Here is a 20,451-nt window from a genome sequence, read left to right on the forward strand (position 1 = left end):
TACAACCCTATGAACTACTCACAGGTACTAGTAACATTACCATTTTGCAGACAAGAATGGTGACACGTGGAGAGATTAAGTAGCCAATTCAAGGTCACACAGCTAGTAATAACCAACTGGATTTGAACCCAGAGAATCTGGTTCCAGTAGCCATGCTCTCCTAGTGCTCAGGGTTGCCTGAGCTGATAGTGACCATAGGAAAGCCTCTGAATGTCTTTTGCATGTATTCACTCATTCACTCACTCATTCATTCATTCATACAGCAGTGATTTGTTGAGCATCTACTATGTACAAGGCGCCATACTAGGTACCAGGGAGACAAAGGTATGTAAAACAGACATAGGCTTAAGAGGGAGACTGACATCAATTTAACATTTTTATAAATTTATAGTAAATGCAAAATGTGATAAGTGACATGAAGGAGAAGTATTGGATCCCATGAAAGCACCTAGTACGAGAACCTCATCTGTTTGGTGAGGTCAAGGAAGGGTTCCCCGAGGAAGTGACAAATGAAGAAATAGCTTATACTGGTGGTTCTCATAATGTGGCCCCTGGCCTAGCAGCATAAGAATCACCAAGGAATCTGGTTTAAATTTTTTTTTTTTAGAGACAGGGTCTCACTTTGTTTTCCAGGTTGGAGTGCAGTGGTGCAAACATAGCTCACTGCAACCTCCTGGGCTCAAGTGATCCTCCCACCTCCCAAGTAGTTGGGACTACAGGTGCACACCACCACACCCAGCTAATTTTTTTTTTTTTTTTTTTTGGAACGAAGTTTCACTCTTGTTGCCCCAGGCTAGGGCACAATGGCATGATCTCGGCTCACTGCAACCTCTGCCTCCCGGGTTCAAGCAATTCTCCTGCCTCAGCCTCCTGAGTAGCTGGCACTACAGGCTCCAGCCACCACACCCGGCTAATTTTTGTATATTTAGTAGAGACGGGGTTTCACCATGTTGACCAGGCTGGTCTTGAACTTCTGACCTCAGGTGATCCACCCACCTCAGCCTCCCAAAGTGCTGGGATTACTGGTGTGAGCCACCACGCCTGGCCTAATTTTTTTATTTTTTGTAGAGACAGGTGTTGTCATGTTTTCCAGGCTGGTCTGAAACTCCTGGGCTCAAGCAATTCTCCTGCTTCAGCTTCCCAAAGTGCTGGGATTACAGGTGTGAGCCACTTCAGCAAAGAAATTTGTAAGAAAGGCAAACTGTCAGGCCCCACCCCAGACCCACTGAATTGGGAACTCTGCGGAAGAGGCCCAGAATCCGTGAATGAGCGTACCAGGGGCTTCCGATGCATGTTCGAGTTTCAGAACCACTGCTTGCAAGTCTTTGTGTAACAAAGGCCCCGAGGTGGGCAGGCGCAGGCACATTAGAGTACCCAAGGGGGGCCTGCAGGTGGGGCGGGAGTGGGGGTGGGGCTGGATGGTGGTTTACACTGGCCTTGCAGGCATGCTCAGCAGTTCAGCACGCATCATTTCCAGTCACCAGGAGGCCTGGCCAGAGGTTCCTCTGCCCTAAGAACCCTCAAGGAGTAGCAGGTCACCTGTGTGTCCAGGCTGGCCAAGTTACGTAAAAGCATGGAGATGACTATGACAAAGGCTTCTAGAGGCCCCTGGTCACCTGATCTTGACCATGTTTTGACTTCCAGGAAGCACTAGTCAGACAGTGAATTCTGTTGCTGTGAAAATGCCTTAGTCCTCAATGCCGAGAGAGGAACCCCAGAGGGAAACACCTCCTTATCCTCAAGAAGCCTTTGCAAAGGGCCTGTGGGTCCTGTTTCCCCTTGGATCGGTGCTAGCAAGGGACATTATCTGCTGAGCAGAGGGTTGCTAGAGGTGGCTTCTACCCTCCTCAGGAGGCAACCCTGAAACAGACACATTGCATTAAAGACCCTGCGCAGCAGAAGGCAGGTATCACCCGCTGAGAGAGCTGGTTGGGTGGAGTCAACGTGAGCTGCTGGAGCTGGGCTCATTGCACAGGAAGGACTGGCTGCTAGTTCTTTGGCTAAGCCTGAACAGGCTGGGTGTGGTCACACCTGCTTGCTGGACATGTTAGCCCAGAAATACATCAAAATTGGTGACAACCAAACAGCCCCCCAGACTCAGAGTCAAGTGGCATTTATGGGGTACCTACTATGTGCTAGACACTGTATGAGGCCCTTTCACAGGTGTTAGCTCTCTGGTAAAGCTCCCAAGTTTGCAGATCCCTTCTCCATCACCCTGTCTACAAGTGCAGATCAATCGTTAGTTCATGCTTGGTGCATCAGGACTCAGTGGCGAGCAGGACAGACATGGTATTTTCAGGGGCAACACAGCGGGGGAAAACAAAGAGATATACATGTGCCAGATAAGGAGCTATTGGTTGTTTTTAGGGCCAACTGTGAGGGTTCCCAGTGCTTTGTATCAAGAATGACTTTCTTTTTAAGGGTCTCTTGTAGAGAGAAAGAAATAAAGACAAACCACAGTTGGCTTGCGAGACTCACATTGGCTTTGCCCACAGTTACTGGTTTTTTTTTGTTTTTTTTTTTTTGTGAGACGGAGTCTCACTCTGTCACCCAGGCTGGAGTGCAGTGGCACCATCTCGGCTCACTGCAAGCTCCGCCTCCTGGGTTCACGCCGTTCTCCTGCCTCAGCCTCCCGAGTAGCTGGGACTACAGGCACCTGCCACTACGCCCGGCTAATTTTTTGTATTTTTAGTAGAGACAGAGTTTCATCGTGGTAGCCAGGATGGTCTCGATTTCCTGACCTCGTGATCCACCCGCCTCGGCCTCCCAAAGTGCTGGGATTACAGGCGTGAGCCACTGCACCCAGCCTGCTCACAGTTACTGTTAAACACCACAGTAGAACCTGCCAGTAGCTGAGCACACGCAGGGCGCCAGCCACTAGACAGCATGGTTATCCAGCCACTAGACAGCATGGTTATCCATCTCACTTCCTCCTCTTTCCAGCTGCCCCGCCTCTCCATGGGGTTTTTCACAAGACGATCAGAGACCCAGAGACCCAAAGGAAAGGGAGACAATGGGGATTGGAGGCCACGGGCTTTAGGGGAAGGTAGGGGGCAAAAAATAGAGCATATGCAAAGCCCTGTCCTTGTTACTTCCCTCCCCAATCTCCACCACCACCCAACTGGCATATGAACTTGTTCTTCTTGTATACAGCTCTGAGCAAAGCACCATATGGCAGTTTCATCAGGCCCACGGCCTGGTTTCCATCCAGCCCACTCTAATTTCCTTCCAGTCATGGATCTGCAGAATAACCCATCCTGTGGAAGGAGCTCAGAGGAAGAAAAAGATAACAATAACAGTAAAGATATACAGAGCACAAACCACAGCGGGGAGCTGTTCCAATTATGTGTATGTTTGACGCTTGCAACAGCTCTAGGAATATCGCTGTTAGCATCCCCATTTTATAGATGACAAAACTGGGAGACAGATGTTCCGAGACATTCTCAAGGTCACATGGCTAGTGATGACAGAGCTGGGATGGGAGCCATGTTAACCGTCAGACTTTGCTGATTCGCTGAATCTTGGCTAAAAGATGTTGGCAGGAAGGGCTGAGAGCTTAGAAGAAGGGGTCCTCCCGGTCTGGCTGGGACAGGGTGATGCCAGCAAAAAGGCCCCTAAATCCACAAGCAGGGGAGGGGCGGGGTCAAGGCCCGGCTGACCTGACTCCAGCAAGCAGGGTCTGAGCTCCATAAGTGGAGGTGTCAGGGAAGCATGCAGAGGACTGGGAAGCAAGGAAGACCCCTGGAAGCAGCCCCCGCAGAGGAGGGTCAGGGAGGGCTGGGGGGCCCCCAGGAGCCCCAGGAGCTTGTCCCTCTTTGGGCTTCCTTCCGTGGCTAGGTTCTCTGCTCACCAGGAGTAAAGGGTAAGCATCCTCTCTGAGCCTGCAGAGCAGCAAGCCTGCACTGAGGCATTGTAGGAATGAGTGGCCCCTGGGATGGAAGGACCTGGGTATGGGTCTCAGCTCCATATCTTTGGGTTGTGTGGCCAAATCACACCCCATCACTCCCATGTCTGTGAGCCTCATCTATAGGGCAGTTAAGGAATGTGAATGGGCTGAAGTATCAGGAAACCAGCTGGGATCCTATCTCAGAAGAGGTGTATAGTACATGATCGTGCCCCTAGCCCCCATTCTTCCTTCTAGAACAAGGAAGGAGAAAACAAAGGCTCCCCGGGCAGTGAAGGCTGGGCCCTTGGTAGGCTTGGCAACCATGCAATCTCTAGAATGGAAGGGCTCCTCCCTCAGAGCACAGCCCTGGAGAGTCACAGCTGTTGCCCTGGGTCTGGCAGGACGAGGGAGGCAGTGCCAGGCTAGATAGAGAGTTTGAGGGACTCTAGGTTGGCAGTGGGGACTGTCATGCCCTGGCTCCTTTAGGATTCACAGGCCAGAGTGGTGGCTGTAGCCTAGTCCTCACTGCCAGAGACCCCACACCACAGTGGAGCCTGCACCAGGCACAGAGGCAGGAGGCAGAGCCATGCTTGCCCCTTTCTGCCATCCCTAGGATGCTAGAGGTAGCATCCTCCCAGCATGCTGGCAGGTGCGAGAAGGAGCTTTACTTGATGTAGCGACACCCCTGCTTCCCCCTGAGCCTTTGGGTTCCTTCCCACTTATGTCCCCTGCTGCGGGTCCACATGAGGGGCTTCTCACCCCGAGGCTGCCTCTACAGTGTCCACTGGACAACCTGGCCACCGCAGCCCCAGACTCAGATCACAAGGCCAGGATGGGCCTAGGATGCTTTGACCCTTCCAGCACAGCAGGAGCCTTTTGATGTGGGTCCAGGCAATGTCCAGCTCTCCTGCCCAGGGCTCGTTCTTGGAGAGTAAATGGGAAGGAACTTTGGAGGGAGCTGCTCTCCGTAGGAGATGATAAAAAATGGGAATTTGGGAATTTGGGGAAGGATTTGACGGATAAGGGAGTTAGGTAACAGGCAAAGAAGAAAGGAGGGAAGTTTCTTTTTCTTTTTTTATTTTTACACAATTTTTTTTTCCCTCCCTGGGGAAAAAATGTGAGCACAGAGGTAAAGAGAGAAGAAAAGTGAGCCAGGCGCGGTGGCTCACACTTGTAATCCCGGCACTTTGGGAGGCCGAGGCGGGTGGATAACTTGAGGTCAGGCGTTCAAGACCAGCCTGGCCAACATGGTGAAACCCCATCTCTACTAAAAATACAAAAATTACCCGGGTGTATTGGTGCGTGCCTGTAATCCTAGCTACTCGGGAGGCAGAGGCAGGAGAATCGCTTGAACTCGGGAGGCAGAGGTTGGAGTGAGCTATCTTGCCACTGCATTCCAGCCTGGGTGACAGGTGACAAAGCAAGAATCTGTCTCAAAAAAAAAAAAAAAGAAAGAAAGAAAGAAAGAAAAGTGAAAAATTCCTTTTATTCCATTTCCGGCCAATATCACCGTTTTCCCCAATCATCCCAGACTTCTGGGCGTTTACATGCATAATACATGTATGTACCCAGGGGGATGATGTCAAGATCTTTGTTTTGCTTTGATTTTACATGAAGGGGATCATGCTGACCACATTGCTTTGCAACTTTTCCCCCATAACTGTATATTCTGGACATTTTCTCATGTCAACAAAAATAGGACTTCCTCTTTTTTTTTTTTCTTTCTTCTAGAGATGCGGTTTCACTCTGTTGCCCAGGCTAGAGTGCACTAATACAATCATAGCTTACTGCACCCTCAACCTCCTGGGCTCAAGCAATCCTCCTGCCTCAGCCTCATGAGTAGCTGGGACTACAGGTGAGCACCACCACACCTGGCTATCCTCATTTTTTGTTTTTAACCTCTACCTAATATTCCATGCGTGCCTGTAACACAGTTGATTCAACCACGCCCCTCTCACTCCCCCTCACTCAGGGTCCCAGCTCTAGAGGACATGGGTCAAAAGGTTTTCATGGTAAATGGTGCCTCTGCACAATTCCAGGGGATGCCATCCACACCCAGAATGCAGCAGCCCTGCCTGATGAAGAGATAAGGTGGCTCCAGTTTTTACCATACAAACAATTCTGCACCGAGCATGCTCACCCATGTCTCTTTGTGCACATGTGTGAGTGGTTCTCCAGGCATTGATGATTCAGGGTGGAGCTGGAGGGCAGAAGTGCATGCTTCCGACATTTCAGGGACCTTGCCATGGTGTGGGAGGGCAGCCTGGGGTTCCTAAGCCCCTTCAGCCTCTGCTGAACCAGGTTGCCTAGCATACATCCATCATGTGGCTGCCGGCTGGGCCGCTGCTTCCAGGAAATCAATTGCAAAAACCTGCGATTGTCAGTGGCTCACACACTGGAGGCCATCCAGGGAGTAGATTAAATTGTATGAAAAAATAGTACAGGGCTCAAGACCGCTCGTAATGGAGACCCCTCGGTGACCTTTCTGCAGAAGTTAAAAGAACACAGGCAGACATACTCTCACCCTTGCTCACCAACGTGCTAGCCCGCCTGCCAGGAGCATAGCCCCTCTGCCCTTGGAGGAGCCGCGCCTCATTAGCAGGAAGTGGGAGGCCTGGTCCAGGGCCCAGTCTGCCTGTGCATGGCAAGAAGGCCAGCAGGGGCACCTGCTTCCCTGCAGGGTGGACCCAAGTTGACCATCAGGCCTTAGATGCTTAAGGTCACTGAGCCCCCCTTCTCCATGCCAGCCCTCTTCTGCTTCCCATGCAGGCACCACTGTGGACCCCTGCTCTGCACCCCCAGGAGGAGTGGGACTGCTTCAAGGGCAGCCTGGAGGAAAGAGGTGTGGTGTGAACACATACAACATGTTCCTTAACCAGGAAGGCGACTGGAGTCTTTACCTGGTTTCAAAGCAGCCAAGCCTAGAGGCCCCCACCCCTTGTTCTTTATTATGATTGCCCTTTGACCCCAACCCCCCAATTCTTTCCTCTCCAGATCCCCAGCCATGCATACTCCAACTTGGTTCTGCAAAGAATACCCAGCCACAGCTGTGAACTTGGGGAAACACATTTTTTCTTTTTCTTTTCTTTTCTTTTTTTTTTTTTTTTGAGAGGGAGTCTCACTCTGTTGCCCAGGCTGAGGTACAGTGGCGTGATCTTGACTCACTGCAACCTCCACCTCCCAGGTTCAAGCAATTCTTCTGCCTAAGCCTCCTGAGTAGCTAGGACTACAGGCATGTGCCACCACCCCCAGCTAATTTTTGTATTTTTAGTAGAGATGGGGTTTCACCATGCTGGCCAGGCTGGGCTTGAACTCCTGGCCTCAAGCAGTCCTCTCACCTTGCCTCCCAAGGTGCTAGGATTATAGGCTTGAGCCACCATGCATGTGCACGGCCAGCACATTCATTTTCTATACATAACTGTCTCCCAGCTCTTCAGGCCAACTTACCTGATAATGATAAAAATAACTAAGCTGCCATGGATTGGGCAGTGTGCCAAGTGCTCCATGTATATTACCTTACTTAGTTTTCACAAACTCTATGAGGTAGGTACCACTATTATTTACAGGTGAGGAAATGGAGGCTCAGAGAGGTTAAGTGAATTGATCCAGGCCACACAGCTGGTAAGCGCCAGAGCCACTAGTGGACGCCAGGTCCAGCCAGCCCCCAGAGCCCATGTGCTGAGCCACTGTGCTATACTGACTCCCACTTAATTCTCTCTTCTGGGTTGTCCCAAAGACCAAGTTCGGCTGGCCAATTTTCCAGGACCATCTCTCATGGCACCTGGAGGCTTGTAGGTTCCTGGAGGACTCTCACACCTCCTTCCCACCCTTCTCCAGATTCTCCAACTCCCTCTTGAGCAGACCCGGCCCCACTCTGGGGCACCCTGCCTTCCTGGGACCTGTCGTAACAGTCACCCACTCTGCCAGGGCCTGGCTGACCCAGGCTGGGGACCGTGGGACCCCTCTGGGCAGTGCCCCCCTACCTGGGCCCAGGTGGGTATGGATTTCTTTCTTCTGGGCCATTGCACCCGCCAGAAGGTGCGGTGGGAGAGGCAGGCCCACATTTCAGAGGGCCTTGCTGCCCCCATGTGGCATGAGGCTGTAGCGGCTGCAGCCTCCTCTTCCCTCCCTCCTGCCACTGCTCCCGAAGCCAAGGCTTTTGCAGGGTTGAAAAGGAAGAGAAAGAGGAGAAGCAGGAATGTGAGAGAAATGAGGCAGAGGGATGGGCTAGGGAAGAGAGAAGCCCTTCTGCGTTACCTGGAAATGCAGCAACAATAATAACAAAGCCAATGTTAGGAATGTTTAAAGGCAGCTGCCACATAGCACTTTTTATAGCTTGTAGACTCTCTCATTTAATCCTGGCACTTACATCAATCTGATTAGTAGCTATTATTAGTTTTATAGGTGATGATCCAAGGCGCAATTATTTGTTCCCCAGCTAGTAGGTGACAGAGCCCAGATTGAATCTGACTCCAGAACCCTAACCACGATATTCCCCTGTCTAGAAGGAGCCAGTTCTCTCCTGCAACCCCCACTGCTCAGCCTCTAGGAGTTCCAGCCACCAGCCACCTGCACCCTCCCTTCCATGTGGCTTTGCCCTCTGTTCTTCTCCTCTCCACTCTCTCTCCAAGGTCCAAGTGGTCAAGGTCATCCCAAGGGTCTGCTGGGACCGTGTGTCCTTATTCTGTGCCTTGCTGGTCGCCAACCTTCCCCATCTGCCAAGGACTGATGTCCAGCCCAGGCCCAGGTGCAGGTGCCCAGGTCATTTTTGCCACTGAGTAAAGGGAGACAGAATGACAGGGTAAATTACCAACCACCAGAACACCATGGAGCCAATAGCATCAATGCAAGTGAAGTATATTTATCTGTTGGCCTGAAAACATGTCCTAGTATATTGTCCCATTAAGCAAAAAGCAGGTTATAAAGCTGTGTACATTAAGAAACATTTTATAAGTGAAACAAAAGTATTCTCCGTTTCTATGCAGAGAAAAAGGATATTTGCCAAGATGTTAACAGATTATTTTTGCTGTCTTCTCTTGGCTTATTTTTGTTTTCTCTTTTTCAATGAACACCAATTAGTCACATGATTTTAAAAAGCAATAAAAATAAACCAATCCCAGACGGATTGTACTTCTTCCTGTCCTCATTTCTACCCCGAGTCTCCAAAAAAAAAAAAAAAAAAAAAGAAGAAAGAAAAAAAAATCACAGTGCCACATGCCCAGACCTTCCCTTCTCCCTCCTATCATTTCAATAACTCAGCTGGGTAGGGAGCGTCTCTACCTACCCCAGGAAGCCTTCTGAACTTGACTGACAGGAGAAGCCCATGCCCCAGGGGCATTTTCTCACTGACCATGCCAGGGCCCTGGAGGACAAGCCAGAGCTGTCCATGGCATTGCTCCTGCAGGTGATGCTGCCTTCTGAGGGCAAAGCGCTCTGGGACGGGTCGGCCCCGCTCACGTGGGTGTGCAGCCCCAGGGCAGTGGAACAGTGCAGAATCCTCGCTCCACTGCTGAGGTTACTATGGGCAACATCTTGGCAAAATGAAGAGTGAGGGGGAAGAAATCACAGAAGCTCCTGATCATCCATGAAAGAAAAAGCAGTGCCTCAGGACTGGGCTATGCCAGTGCCTTCCAGAAGGCTTTGAAGAAACTGGGAAGGAGATGGGGACTGGCACTTCCTGGGCATCTACTATGTACGTGCCCTCACAGACGTGATCTCACCCCTCATTACACACCTCCCATGGTACGGATGATGCCACTGAGGCACAGGAGGCACACATCCACACCAGACCATAGGTGCCTTGGCTTCTAGTGTCTCTGCTGCTTAACGTGGTGTCCTGGAAACGTCTCTGGATAGAAACACTGGTATCTTCTGGAAGCGTCTTCTCCTCCCCGTGCGGTACATTGCTCAGACTCCATAGAAGGCCAGCTCTCCTAGAGCCACAGAAACTCCTCCATTCTGGAGCAGGAGCTAGGCACATTCCCAGAAGGGGGCTGCCCCTCCTGAGCCCTTGCTAGTTTAATGATATAAGTTGTTGCTAACTTCATCCTATCTGCCTTTAAAATAGCAGCCATCAGAAAGGCAGCCCAGAGAGCTGGCCTGCAACCCAGCAGAGCCTAAAGGGGGCCTGTAATGTCACGCCGACCCCATCTTCAAATCACACTCCCTGTGGTGGCCATCCCTAGAGACCTACAAACAAAAGCTCCTGTTCTTGGCAAGCCTCTTACAAGCAGGACAGATGCAGGAATTGGGAGTCAGAAGACCACGGTGTTCTTCCAGCTCTGAGCCCAACCATCTGGGTCACCTTAGCTGAGCTGCTCCTTCATGTCCCCAACCCTTCTGTTCATACAGCATGATGGTGTAGAAAGGGGTCCAAAGGGTGTTGCTGAAGAATGCTCAGCCCCCTGGCGCTGTGTCTGTACTAAATAAAAGTCTGGTAACAGATTCCAAGTCCCTGAGTATCCTGGTTTGGCTGTACTCAGTCGAAGCGTGATTGATAGTGACATCCTGTGGACACAATAGGTAACTGCATCAGCTTGGACAGAAGCCAGAGGATGACATCCAGCTTCCCTCATTACATGGAGAGGAGCTGATTGCAATTAATCACACTCATCATCTTACACAGGGAGCTGTCTTAGAGCTGGGAAAAAAAATTAGAAAAACAACCTTCAAGGCCAGGCGCGGTGGCTCACGCCTGTAATCCCAGCACTTTGGGAGGCCGAAACGGGTGGATCACGAGGTCAGGAGTTCGAGACCAGCCTGGCCAACATAGTGAAACCCTGTCTCTATAAAAATACAAAAAATTAGCAGGCATGGTAGCGGGCACCTGTAATCCCAGCTACTAGGGAGGTTGAGGAAGGAGAATCGCTTGAACCCGGGAGGCGGAGGTTGCAGTGAGCTGAGATCATGCTACTGCACTCCAGCCTGGGCAACAGTGCAAGACTCTGTCTCAAAAAAAAAAAAAAAAAAAAAACCGTCAAGCCACAGATTTCTCTGCCATCATCCTCCAAGTTACATCTATTTCGTTTAAATTTGTCTGTCTTCAAATACTGGCCTGATACAAGAGTCTAGTGACCATGGAGGGAAAGTAATGTCAATAGCAATGTTAAAAGCAGAAAGATGTAATGGGCAGTTTACTCTTGCCATGAATTTCACATGCATTATCTCATTTAATCTTCCCCCAAACCCAAGGAGGTACATGTTCTTATCCCCAATTTTCAGATGAAGAACCTGAGATGCGGTGCACAAGGAAAAGCTATGTTTCAAACCTGGACAATCTGTCACCCGCCTGTCTTAGTCCATTTCGTGTTGCCATAACAGGATACCTGAGACGGGGTAATTTATAAAGAAGAGAGGTTTATTCAGCTTACAGATCTGTTGGCTGGGAGAATCAAGAAGCATGGCCTCAGCATCTGCTCAGCCTCTGGTGAGGGCTGCGACATACAGAAGGTCAAAGGGAGAGTGAACACTTGCAAAGAAGGGAAAACCCAAGGGGCATCCTGGCTTTATAACAACCCACTGTCTTGGGAACAAATCCATTCCTACAAGAATCCAGTCTTGCCAGGGTGAAAACTCACTCTCCACTGTGAGGATGGCACTAAGCCCTTCATGAGAGATCTGCCCCCATGACCCAGACACCTCCCACTAGGCCCCACCTCCCACCACCACCACACCGAGGGTCAAATTTCAACATGAGTTTAGGTTGACGCAACCATATCCAAACCACAGTAGACTCCATTCCCTTTAATCACCACTTTATGCACCTTCACTGCCTCTTGTGTCTACCTGGCCCACCCCATGCCATGGTAATCCCTCCTTCCTAGAACACTGGAGAAAATTCCACTTCCTGGGATACTGGCTTGAATTCTCCAGACTGAGTACCTCTGAGTCACCTTCTGTGGCAGCAAGGAGGAGGTGGATAGGAGGAGCTTTAGGGTTAGACAGGCCTGGGTTGGAATCCCAGCTCTGTGCCTCGCTGTCACTAGCTGTGTGTCCTGGGGCTTGTTCTTGAACTTCACTTTCCTAGATTGCCAAGTGTGGCCCATGATCCCTTGCCTTGAGAGGGTGTTGTGAAGATTAGAGAAATCACTTGCTGCTGAGTAGATGCTCAAGAAGTGAAGGCTGTTCTCGTTGGCAAGATGTGCAATTTGACCTTGGGAGGAGCCAGCCTGGAGATTTCAGCAGGTGTCAAATTCTTATCTAACCTGTTTAGAAAACACCACTACTAAGAAGGGCTAGAGGCGGGCGGATCACCTGAAGTCGAGAGTTCAAGACCAGCCTTTCCAACATGGAGAAACCCTGTCTCTACTTAAAATACAAAATTAGCAGGGCATGGTTTTGCATGCCTGTAATCCCAGCTACTCAGGAGGCTGAGGCAGGAGAATCGCTAGAACCCAGGAGGCAGAGGTTGTGGTGAGCCGAGATCGCGCCATTGCACTCCAGCCTGGGCAACAAGAGCAAAACTCCATCTCAAAAAAAGAAGGGCTGGGATTCAGATGGAGGAGAAGGCCAGCCTTCTTGCCCTGAGGCTTATGATGTTTCAGAGGGGGCTTGCTGATCTATCAGGGTTCAAAGGATCTCCAAAGGGAGTTATTTAGCTAAGATGGCAGAGCAGAAACAAGATTCCAAGACTTTGTACCCTGCCTTTCCATAGAGAAATTATTATTCAAAGAGTAGTATCCCAGCAGGATTCAAGTTCATGCCTCCAGGTATCTTTAGAGACCCTGGTACCATGAGCCAGCCTCTGTGTAGTTCAGGAAGCGCAAATTCAAGACTAGAAGTGGGGTGTCTGGATTCTAGTTCCAGCTCTACCTCCCACTGTTCTTGCAGACTCTTGAACTTGGTCCTCTTCTTGTCTCTTCAAGGTCATACCACTGAATGCTTCTCCTCTTCAGTGCCTCAGTGATGTCTCTCTTTTCCCTTCCCTGCAAAGCAGTGCTGTCCTTCTTGCCCATAGTGCTCTACTAGCAGAGACCATAATGACCACTGGTTAAGTGATTAAGAACAGGGCTGTTCATTTCTTTTTTTTCTTTTTTTGAGATGGAATTTCACTCTTGTTGCCCAGGCTGGAGTGCAATGGTGTAATCTTGGCTTACCACAACCTCCGCCTCTCAGGTTCAAGTGATTCTCCTGCCTCAGCCTCCCAAGTAGCTGGGATTACAGGCATGCACCACCACACCCAGCTAATTTTGTATTTTTTTTTTTTTTAGTAGAGACGGGGTTTCTCCATGTTGGTCAGACTGGTCTCAAATTCTTGACCTCAGGTGATCCACCTGCCTCGGCCTCCCAAAAGACTGTTCATTTCTATAGCCCCAGTCTCTAATATGGCATCTGACACATGGAAAGTGCTCACTGGTGAAAGAGTAAGTGGGACAACTCACTATAAATGGCTGTGGGGCCCATTGCTGGAAATATCCCCAGAGAGAATAGCACTGGGGCCCCTAACCATTCCAAGTAATGTTTAAGAATTATAATATGGAACTCTTTCTGTTCCAAGTTACACTGAGGCCCCAATATGACAGATATCAGTATTAGTTATCTATTGCTACATAACAGATTACCTCAAAATTTAGTAGCTTAAAACAATAATAAACATTTATTATCTCAGTTTCTCTTGATGAGGAATTGGGGAGTGGCTTAGCTGGTGTTCTGGCTTAGGGTTTGTCATGAGGTTACAGTCAAAATGTCAAGTAGGGATGCAGTCATTTGAAGGCTTGACTGGGGCCGTATGATCTGCATCTAAGATGGCACGCTCACATGGCCAGCAAGATGGTGCTGGCTACTGGCAGGAGGCCTCAGTTCCTTGCCATGTGGACCTCTCCATGGACCTCCCTGAGTAGCTTCATGACATGGCAGCTGACTTCTCCCAGAATGAGTGGTTCAAGAGAGCAGGGAGGAGGTCACAATGTCTCTTATGACTATATTAGATCCACAGGGCTGCTGTAACAAAGTACCACAAGCAAGATAACTTAACAGAAATTTACTCTTTCACAGTTCTGGGGGCCAGAAGTCTGAAACCACATTGTCAGCAGGGTCAGAACGGTGGCACATGGAAGGTGCTCATTGGTGAAACAATGAGTGGGAAAGAATAAATCATTCCTTGCCTCTTCCAACTTCTGACGGCCGCAGATGTTTCTTGGCTTGTGGCTGTATCATTCCAATCTCTGTCTCCATCTTCACACGGCCTTCTCCCTTGTGTCTGTCTACTCTTTGTCTCTCTCTCCTTATGAGAACACCAGTCATTGGATGTAGGGCCCACTCTAGTCAAGAACAACCCTTGATTACAACTGCGAAGACTATTTCCAGAAAAGGTCACATTTATAGGCCCTGGGGGTTAGGGCTGCAACATATCTTCTGGGGGACATCATTAAACACACAACAATGACCTAGCCTCAGAAGATGCATGCCATCAGCTCTGCAATAGCAAGTGGCTACAAGGGTCGGCCCTGTTCACGGAGGGAGGAGACACAATGATGTGAATACCAGGAGATGGGGACAATGAGGGGCCATTGTGGAAGCAGGCTACCACAATATCATCAGATAGCAAACTGAACATGAGACAGACTCCCATATGTAGTATTTACAAAGGAAATAATGGGGAACCAGTTGCATAGCACTCAGGGCCCTCAGCCTACCAACAATATAGAGTGTGGAGAATGGGGAGAGTTTGGAAATAGAAACTTCCAGAAAGGGCAAAGCCATGCTGTAAGCTACCCCACCAAGGAGTTAGGGGCCCTACTGCTTTCAACTCAAGCCTAGTGATGGGGGCTTCCATGCAGCCACTTGGAGCTGTGGGCCCCCATGGGACTGTGCCAGGAGGGACTGCATTAGGATGAGTGAAGGGGCTGTGTGAGTTCTTCCCATGGGCCACATGTGGATCAGATGGACCATGGCAGGAGAGAGGGCCAAGGTGGGGGTCATTTTAAGTCCTGTAGGGCCTCTGAGAAGGGCAAAGGGATGTCAGCAGAAAGAAGTTGGAAGAGGATGCTGGATTTCTAGGGGTTGAAGATGGAGTCATAGCTGTACCTGAAATGGAGGTGCAGAACAGGGAACTTCAGGAGAAAACCTTAGAGATGGGAACTTTTTTTTTTTTTTTTTTTAAGACAGGGTCTCACTCTGTTGCCCAAGCTGGAGTCCAGTGGCCCAAACTCGGCTCACAGCAACCTCTACCTCCTGGGTTCAAGCAATCCTCCTGCCTCAGCCTCCCAAGTAGCTGGGACTACAGGCGTGCAGCACCACCCCCAGATACTTTTTGTATTTTTGGTAGAGATGAGGTTTAGCCATGTTGCTCGGGCTGGTCTAGTACTCCTGGGCTCCAGTGATCTGCCCGCCTCCGCCTTCCAAAGTGCTGGGATTATAGGCGTGAGCCACCAAGCCTGGCTGAGATGGGAACTTCTGAAGAACACAGGGAACCCTCCAGAAAGAGCTTTCACCATCTGCCACACCCAGAGAGCTGGCAATCATACAGTCAAGTAAAAACTGCCCTATTCCCCTGCTCCCCATCCGCTTCCCTGCATCCTCACCCACCACCTCCACTTAGACTCTGAAAGCAACCAGCAAGTGGGGAGAGGGGTATTCGGGAGAGAATAGACAAAAGCCACCATGCCCAGTCCCTGGCAGCTGGCAGCCCCCAACTAAGGCCTTAACTAGGGCAGGAGGAAGAAGATTTCTCTTTGAAGAAAAATGCAAGAGTCATTTAATATCTTTGGGTGGCTGCTTTAAATCTCTAAGTCGATACTGGATTTCGTGACATAAAATGTACATACCTAAGCATGACCAGAAGAGCCTCGGGGTCAGCTGAGCTTTCAGCCAGGGGAAGGGGAAATGCTTCCCTTGCTTTAGCTCAAATGCACAGTGAGAGCCAAAGCAAATTGAGTTACATGTTGGTTCCACCCCACATTCAAGGGATTGGTTTCACCGAATCCCCGCCTCCACAGGGAATTGGGTCTTATATTTCTTACCCCCAACCCTCCCCGCCATGGCAGAGCCACAAGGAGGTTCCTGAAGAAAATCCCTTCTCGGCTTTTGTGCAGAATTGAAGAATGTTTACTATGTTTTCCTTCCTGTCTCTCTGGAAATGACGCAAAGAATAACAACAACAAAAAAGAACTCCTTGTCCCGTGCAAAACACCCGCCCCTCCCCCGCCCCTGACCTCCTAACTCTTCACCCTGTGTTGGCCTGACTTCACCCTGGGATGGGGAAACTTCCTGGGAGGATATAGCTGACCTGGGAACAAAACTTGTTTTTTTGAAAGCTTTGTGCAACGTCAACTAAGTTGGGGGAGGGGTCTGGGCAAGGAAAGAAGAAAGCAAAGGGGGGCAGGGTGGGAACAGTTCTGCTAAACCAAACAATTCCCCAGGGATGATGGAGCTGTGGTGACCTGATAAGTCCTTTAAATGTCTTATTAATTACTGGGGGAAAAATTGGCTACTTCTGAGTCTCCCCTCTCTCACTGTCCTTGCACAAGCTTGGGACTAGCTCTGTCCTTTTTTAAGAGTCAGTCTTGGGCCGGGCATAGTGGCTCACTCCTGTAATCCCAGCACTTTGGGAGGCTAAGGCAGGAGGATCCCTTGAGGCCAGGAGCTTGAGACCAGCCTGGGCAACATAGCGAGACCTCATCCCTACAAATAATTTTTAAAAATTAGCTTGGAGTGTTGGTGTGTGTCTGTGGTCCCTGCTACTCAGGAGACTGAGGCAGGAGGATTACTTAAGCCCAGGCAGTGGAGGCAGCAGTGAGCTGTGATTGCACTATTGCACTCCAGCCTGGGTGATAGAGCAAGAACCTATCTCAAAAAAAAAAAAAAAAAAAAAAGAGTCCAGCTTTTTAAAGAAGGGTGCCCCTTGGTGGAAGACAACAGGACAAGGCAGGAGCTGGGGCTGCGGAGAGTCCGGGGTCTGCAGAGCATGGGGCTGCCATCAGAGACCCACCAGGCAGGTTCCTGCTCCTAGCAAGGACCCGGCTGAGCAGAGATGAGGGTGTGGAGGTGAACCTGGAAAACATGCAGAGGATTCTAGACACATTCCACAGTCAGAGCCTCTGGAAAGCCCACCTTCTCCATCACAGAGGCTTTGGGGAATAGACATCCTGTTTCTCTGTATTATTACAGCACAAAGCATTTATCATGCTGACAATGACAGTGACATTTCAGGACCTAAACAAGCTTAGTTGTTCACAGCTTACAGGAGAGAAGGCTCCTAACACTCTTTATTTATTTATTTATTTGTTTGTTTATTTATTTTGTTTTTGTTTTTTTTTGTTTTGAGACAGAGTTTCGCTCTGTCGCCCAGGCAGACAGAGTGCAGTGGCAAGATCTCGGCTCACTGCAAGTTCCGCTTCCAGGGTTCACGCCATTCTCCTGCCCAGCCTCCCGAGTAGCTGGGACTACAGGTGCCTGCCACGGCGCCTGGCTAATTTTTTGTATTTTTAGTAGAGGCGGGGTTTCACCGTGTTAGCCAGGATAGTCTCCATCTCCTGACATCTTGATCCACCCACCTCGGCCTCCCAGAGTGCTGGGATTACAGGCGTGAGCCACCGCGCCCGGCCTATTTATTTGTTTTTTGAGACAGAGCCTTGCTCTGTCATCCAGGCTGGAGTGCAATGGTGTGATCTCGGCTTATTGCAACTTCCACCTCCCAGGTTCAAGCAATTCTCCTGCCTCAGCCTCCCGAGTAGTCGGGACTACAGGTGTGCACTACCACAGCAGGCTATTTTTTTTTTTTTTTTTTAGTAGAGACAGAGTTTCTCCACGTTGGCCAGGCTGGTCTCGAACTCCTGACCTCAGACAATCTGCCTGCCACATGATTAGGTCCTGAGGGCTCTCCCCTCATGAATGGGATTAAGACTTTTATAAAAGAGGCCTGAAGGAGCTTGTTGACCCCTTCTGCCATGCAAGGACACAGAGGAGGCACCATGTATGAGGAATGAGCCCTCACAAGACACTGAATCTGCTGGCGCCTTGACCTTGGACTTTCCAGTCTCCAGAACTGTGAATGATAAATTTCCATTGTTTATAAATTACCCAGTCTAAGGTATTTTGTTATAGCAGCCAAAACCATCTACAGAGCACTAATGACAGTTTGGGCTGGATTATTCTTCGTTGTCGGGGCTGCCCTGTACATTGTAGGATGTTTTGGAATATCCCTGGCCTCTATCCACAAGATGCCAGTAGCGCCTCCCCCAACTCCATGACAAAACTGTCCCTTGGGGGCAAAATTACCCCTGGTTGAGAATCACGGCCAAGTAGCAGTCCCCATTCAGTGACCAGACAGCTAAGGAGATCCAGAGTGTAGTGCTGGGCCACACAGATGCTAAGGGAATTTATACTTCAGGAAAAAAAAAAAAAAGGCCAAGTCTATGTGGCCTTCGCATCAGTTATTACTCTCTCGGTTGCACTAAGTGACAGAAAATTCACCTCTAAATGACTTTAAATTGGGATGCTGTTTCATATAACTAAGCAGACCAGGGATTAGGCATTGTGCTGGTTCAGGCCAAGCTTGATCCAGGGATTCAAACAATATCACCAAGATTTGGCTTTATCTTTATCCCCGATGCTGCTCTTCTCCATAGCGTTTTCTTGTTGGGATAAGATGGCTGCCAGCAATCCAGTCCCACCTCTTCCTATGCCTGAGACTTGTGAGGAAAAAACATGAAGTGCTTTTCTTTTTGCAGTCCCAGCAAAAGTCTCATTCCACTGAACTGGCTCTGACTTGAACATGAATCCATCATCAAGCAAGACACCATGGCTGGGGAATGTGATGGCCTAAGTGGCCAGGTTGTAGTCACATAACCACTTCTGGATCTGGGAGTGGAGTCAACTCTGTCTGTGGGACATCAAGAATGGGGAAGTGGGGTTCCCAAGAGGAAAGTAGCATACTACCACTGGGAGACAGGTGAAAGGATTCTTGATGACAAAAAGCAATACATAGCTACCACAGTCTTTTTTTTCTTTTCTTTTCTTTTCTTTTTTTTTTTTTTTTTTGAGGCAGGGTCTCACTCTGTCGCTCAGGCTGGAGTGTAGTGTGAGATCTCAGCTCACTGCAGCCTCAACCTCCTAGGCTCAAAGAATCCTCCCTCTTCAGCCTCCAGAGTAGCTAGAATTATAAGTGTGCACCACCACACCCAGCTACTATTTGTATTTTTAGTAGAGATGGAGTCTCACCATGTTGCCCAGGCTGATCGCGAACTCCTGAGTTCAAGTGATCTGCCCACCTCGGCCTCCTGAAGTGCTAGGATTATAGGTGTGAGCCACCACACCTGACCTACCAAAGTCTTTATACCAAAAAGAAGCTCACTCTTAAATTGATTAAGGTGAGAGCTAAAAGTTTAAAGAAGACTCTGCCGAGTGGTAGTATAATACCTGTGCCATGATTGTCCAAATCAACCTCCAGGTGACAAACAAGAACTCTTTCAGGTATCTCTAAGATAAACTAGCATCTGAGATGGTTCATTCAGATGGATCTCTAAAATGGAGACTGCCAGAGTTTTACCAAGATTTTTCCTCCCATTTTTTCATAGTAACATATATGTAGTTGGGTCCATAGTTGCTCAGCTGGAGATAGCATTTCCCAATTTTCCTTGCAGTTCAAATCGTAGTACATGTGAGTCCCAGCCCTGGAGTGAGTAGTCACTTGGGGGACACCTTGCAGTTAGGTGTGACCACATGACTAAGTTTGCACTATATGGGCAGAAGAGATGATTACACCTAGGCCTTAAGATAGTGGGAATGCGGCAGGCTGAGACATGAGAATTGCTTGAACCCAGGAGGCGGAGGTTGCAGTGAGCTGAGATCATGCCACTGCACTCCAGCCTGGGTGATAGAGTGAGACTCAAAAAAAAAAAAAAAGATAGTGGGCATGTCTCATCCTTACTCTTTCCCCTTCCCTTGAACCAGAACATGATCTTGCCTGAGACCTAGCTTTGCCATGCTAGTAAAAATGATGCCCTAAGAGATGACAGGAAAATGCAAAGAACCTGGATCCCTGAATGACCTTGTGGAGCAGAGTATCCTGACAATCTGCAATGAATACCTCAAGTGAGAAAGAAATAAATTTGCCTTTTCTGAGAGACTAAATGTTGCATTACATCTATTCTAAGATCCATGTTTTTAATGTATTCTAATATCTTTGAAATCCATGGCACTGTTGGCCAGGTAGTGGTCAAGACCACCCTTAAGGTACGTCAGACCCCAGGAAAATGTTTTTTCTGGAACTCCTCCTGTCTATATAAACAAATTAATCCTAGCACTTTGGGGGGCTGAGGCAGAAGGATTGTTTGAGCCCAGGAGTTTGAGGATGCAGTAAGCCATGTTCATACCACTGCACTCCAGCCTGGGCATCAGAGCAAGACCCTGTCTCAAAAAAATAAAAATAATAAAAATAAACAAATTAGGCCCGGTGTGGTGGCTCATACCTCTAATCCCAGTACTTTGGGAGGCCGAGGTGGGTGGATCACTTGAGCCCAGGAGTTTGAGACCAGTTGGGCAACATGGTAAAACCCCATCTCTGCTAAAAATACAAAAAATTAGCCAGCCATACTGGTGTGTGCCTGCAGTCCCAGCTACTTGAG

The 20,451-nt window shown here is 49.2% G+C and overlaps 2 long non-coding RNA genes across 2 annotated transcripts in view, besides 4 other annotated features; one reads left to right on the forward strand and one right to left on the reverse strand.

Annotated features, from left to right (window-relative positions):
- Positions 1 to 9,050, forward strand: part of LINC02288 (long intergenic non-protein coding RNA 2288) — a 28,455-nt gene extending 19,405 nt beyond the window's left edge. The window contains exons 3-4 of the long non-coding RNA NR_110554.1: positions 5,618 to 5,741; positions 6,656 to 9,050. This is a non-coding gene — a long non-coding RNA (long intergenic non-protein coding RNA 2288). The remainder of the gene's footprint in view (positions 1 to 5,617; positions 5,742 to 6,655) is intronic.
- Positions 7,773 to 8,067: a silencer, noted in NCBI's record as "tiled region #7445; HepG2 Repressive non-DNase unmatched - State 13:Ctcf, and K562 Repressive DNase unmatched - State 12:CtcfO". NCBI's record gives its function as "represses a minimal TATA promoter and a strong SV40 promoter by Sharpr-MPRA in HepG2 and K562 cells {active_cell/tissue: HepG2 | K562}" and the evidence as "EXISTENCE:reporter gene assay evidence [ECO:0000049][PMID:27701403]".
- Positions 7,773 to 8,096: a biological region, named in NCBI's record as "Sharpr-MPRA regulatory region 7445".
- Positions 8,037 to 8,096: an enhancer, noted in NCBI's record as "active region_8788". NCBI's record gives its function as "activates an Ori minimal core promoter by ATAC-STARR-seq in GM12878 lymphoblastoid cells {active_cell/tissue: GM12878}" and the evidence as "EXISTENCE:reporter gene assay evidence [ECO:0000049][PMID:35858748]".
- Positions 8,727 to 15,738, reverse strand: LINC02289 (long intergenic non-protein coding RNA 2289). The gene is made up of 3 exons (NR_110553.1): positions 15,652 to 15,738; positions 11,257 to 11,319; positions 8,727 to 10,393 (listed from the first exon to the last, which is right to left on the reverse strand). It is a non-coding gene; the product is annotated as a long intergenic non-protein coding RNA 2289 (long non-coding RNA).
- Positions 15,593 to 15,887: a silencer, noted in NCBI's record as "tiled region #8378; K562 Repressive non-DNase unmatched - State 24:Quies". NCBI's record gives its function as "represses a minimal TATA promoter and a strong SV40 promoter by Sharpr-MPRA in K562 cells {active_cell/tissue: K562}" and the evidence as "EXISTENCE:reporter gene assay evidence [ECO:0000049][PMID:27701403]".

This window comes from Homo sapiens, chromosome 14, assembly GCF_000001405.40.
Source record: "Homo sapiens chromosome 14, GRCh38.p14 Primary Assembly".
Lineage (NCBI taxonomy): Eukaryota > Metazoa > Chordata > Mammalia > Primates > Hominidae > Homo > Homo sapiens.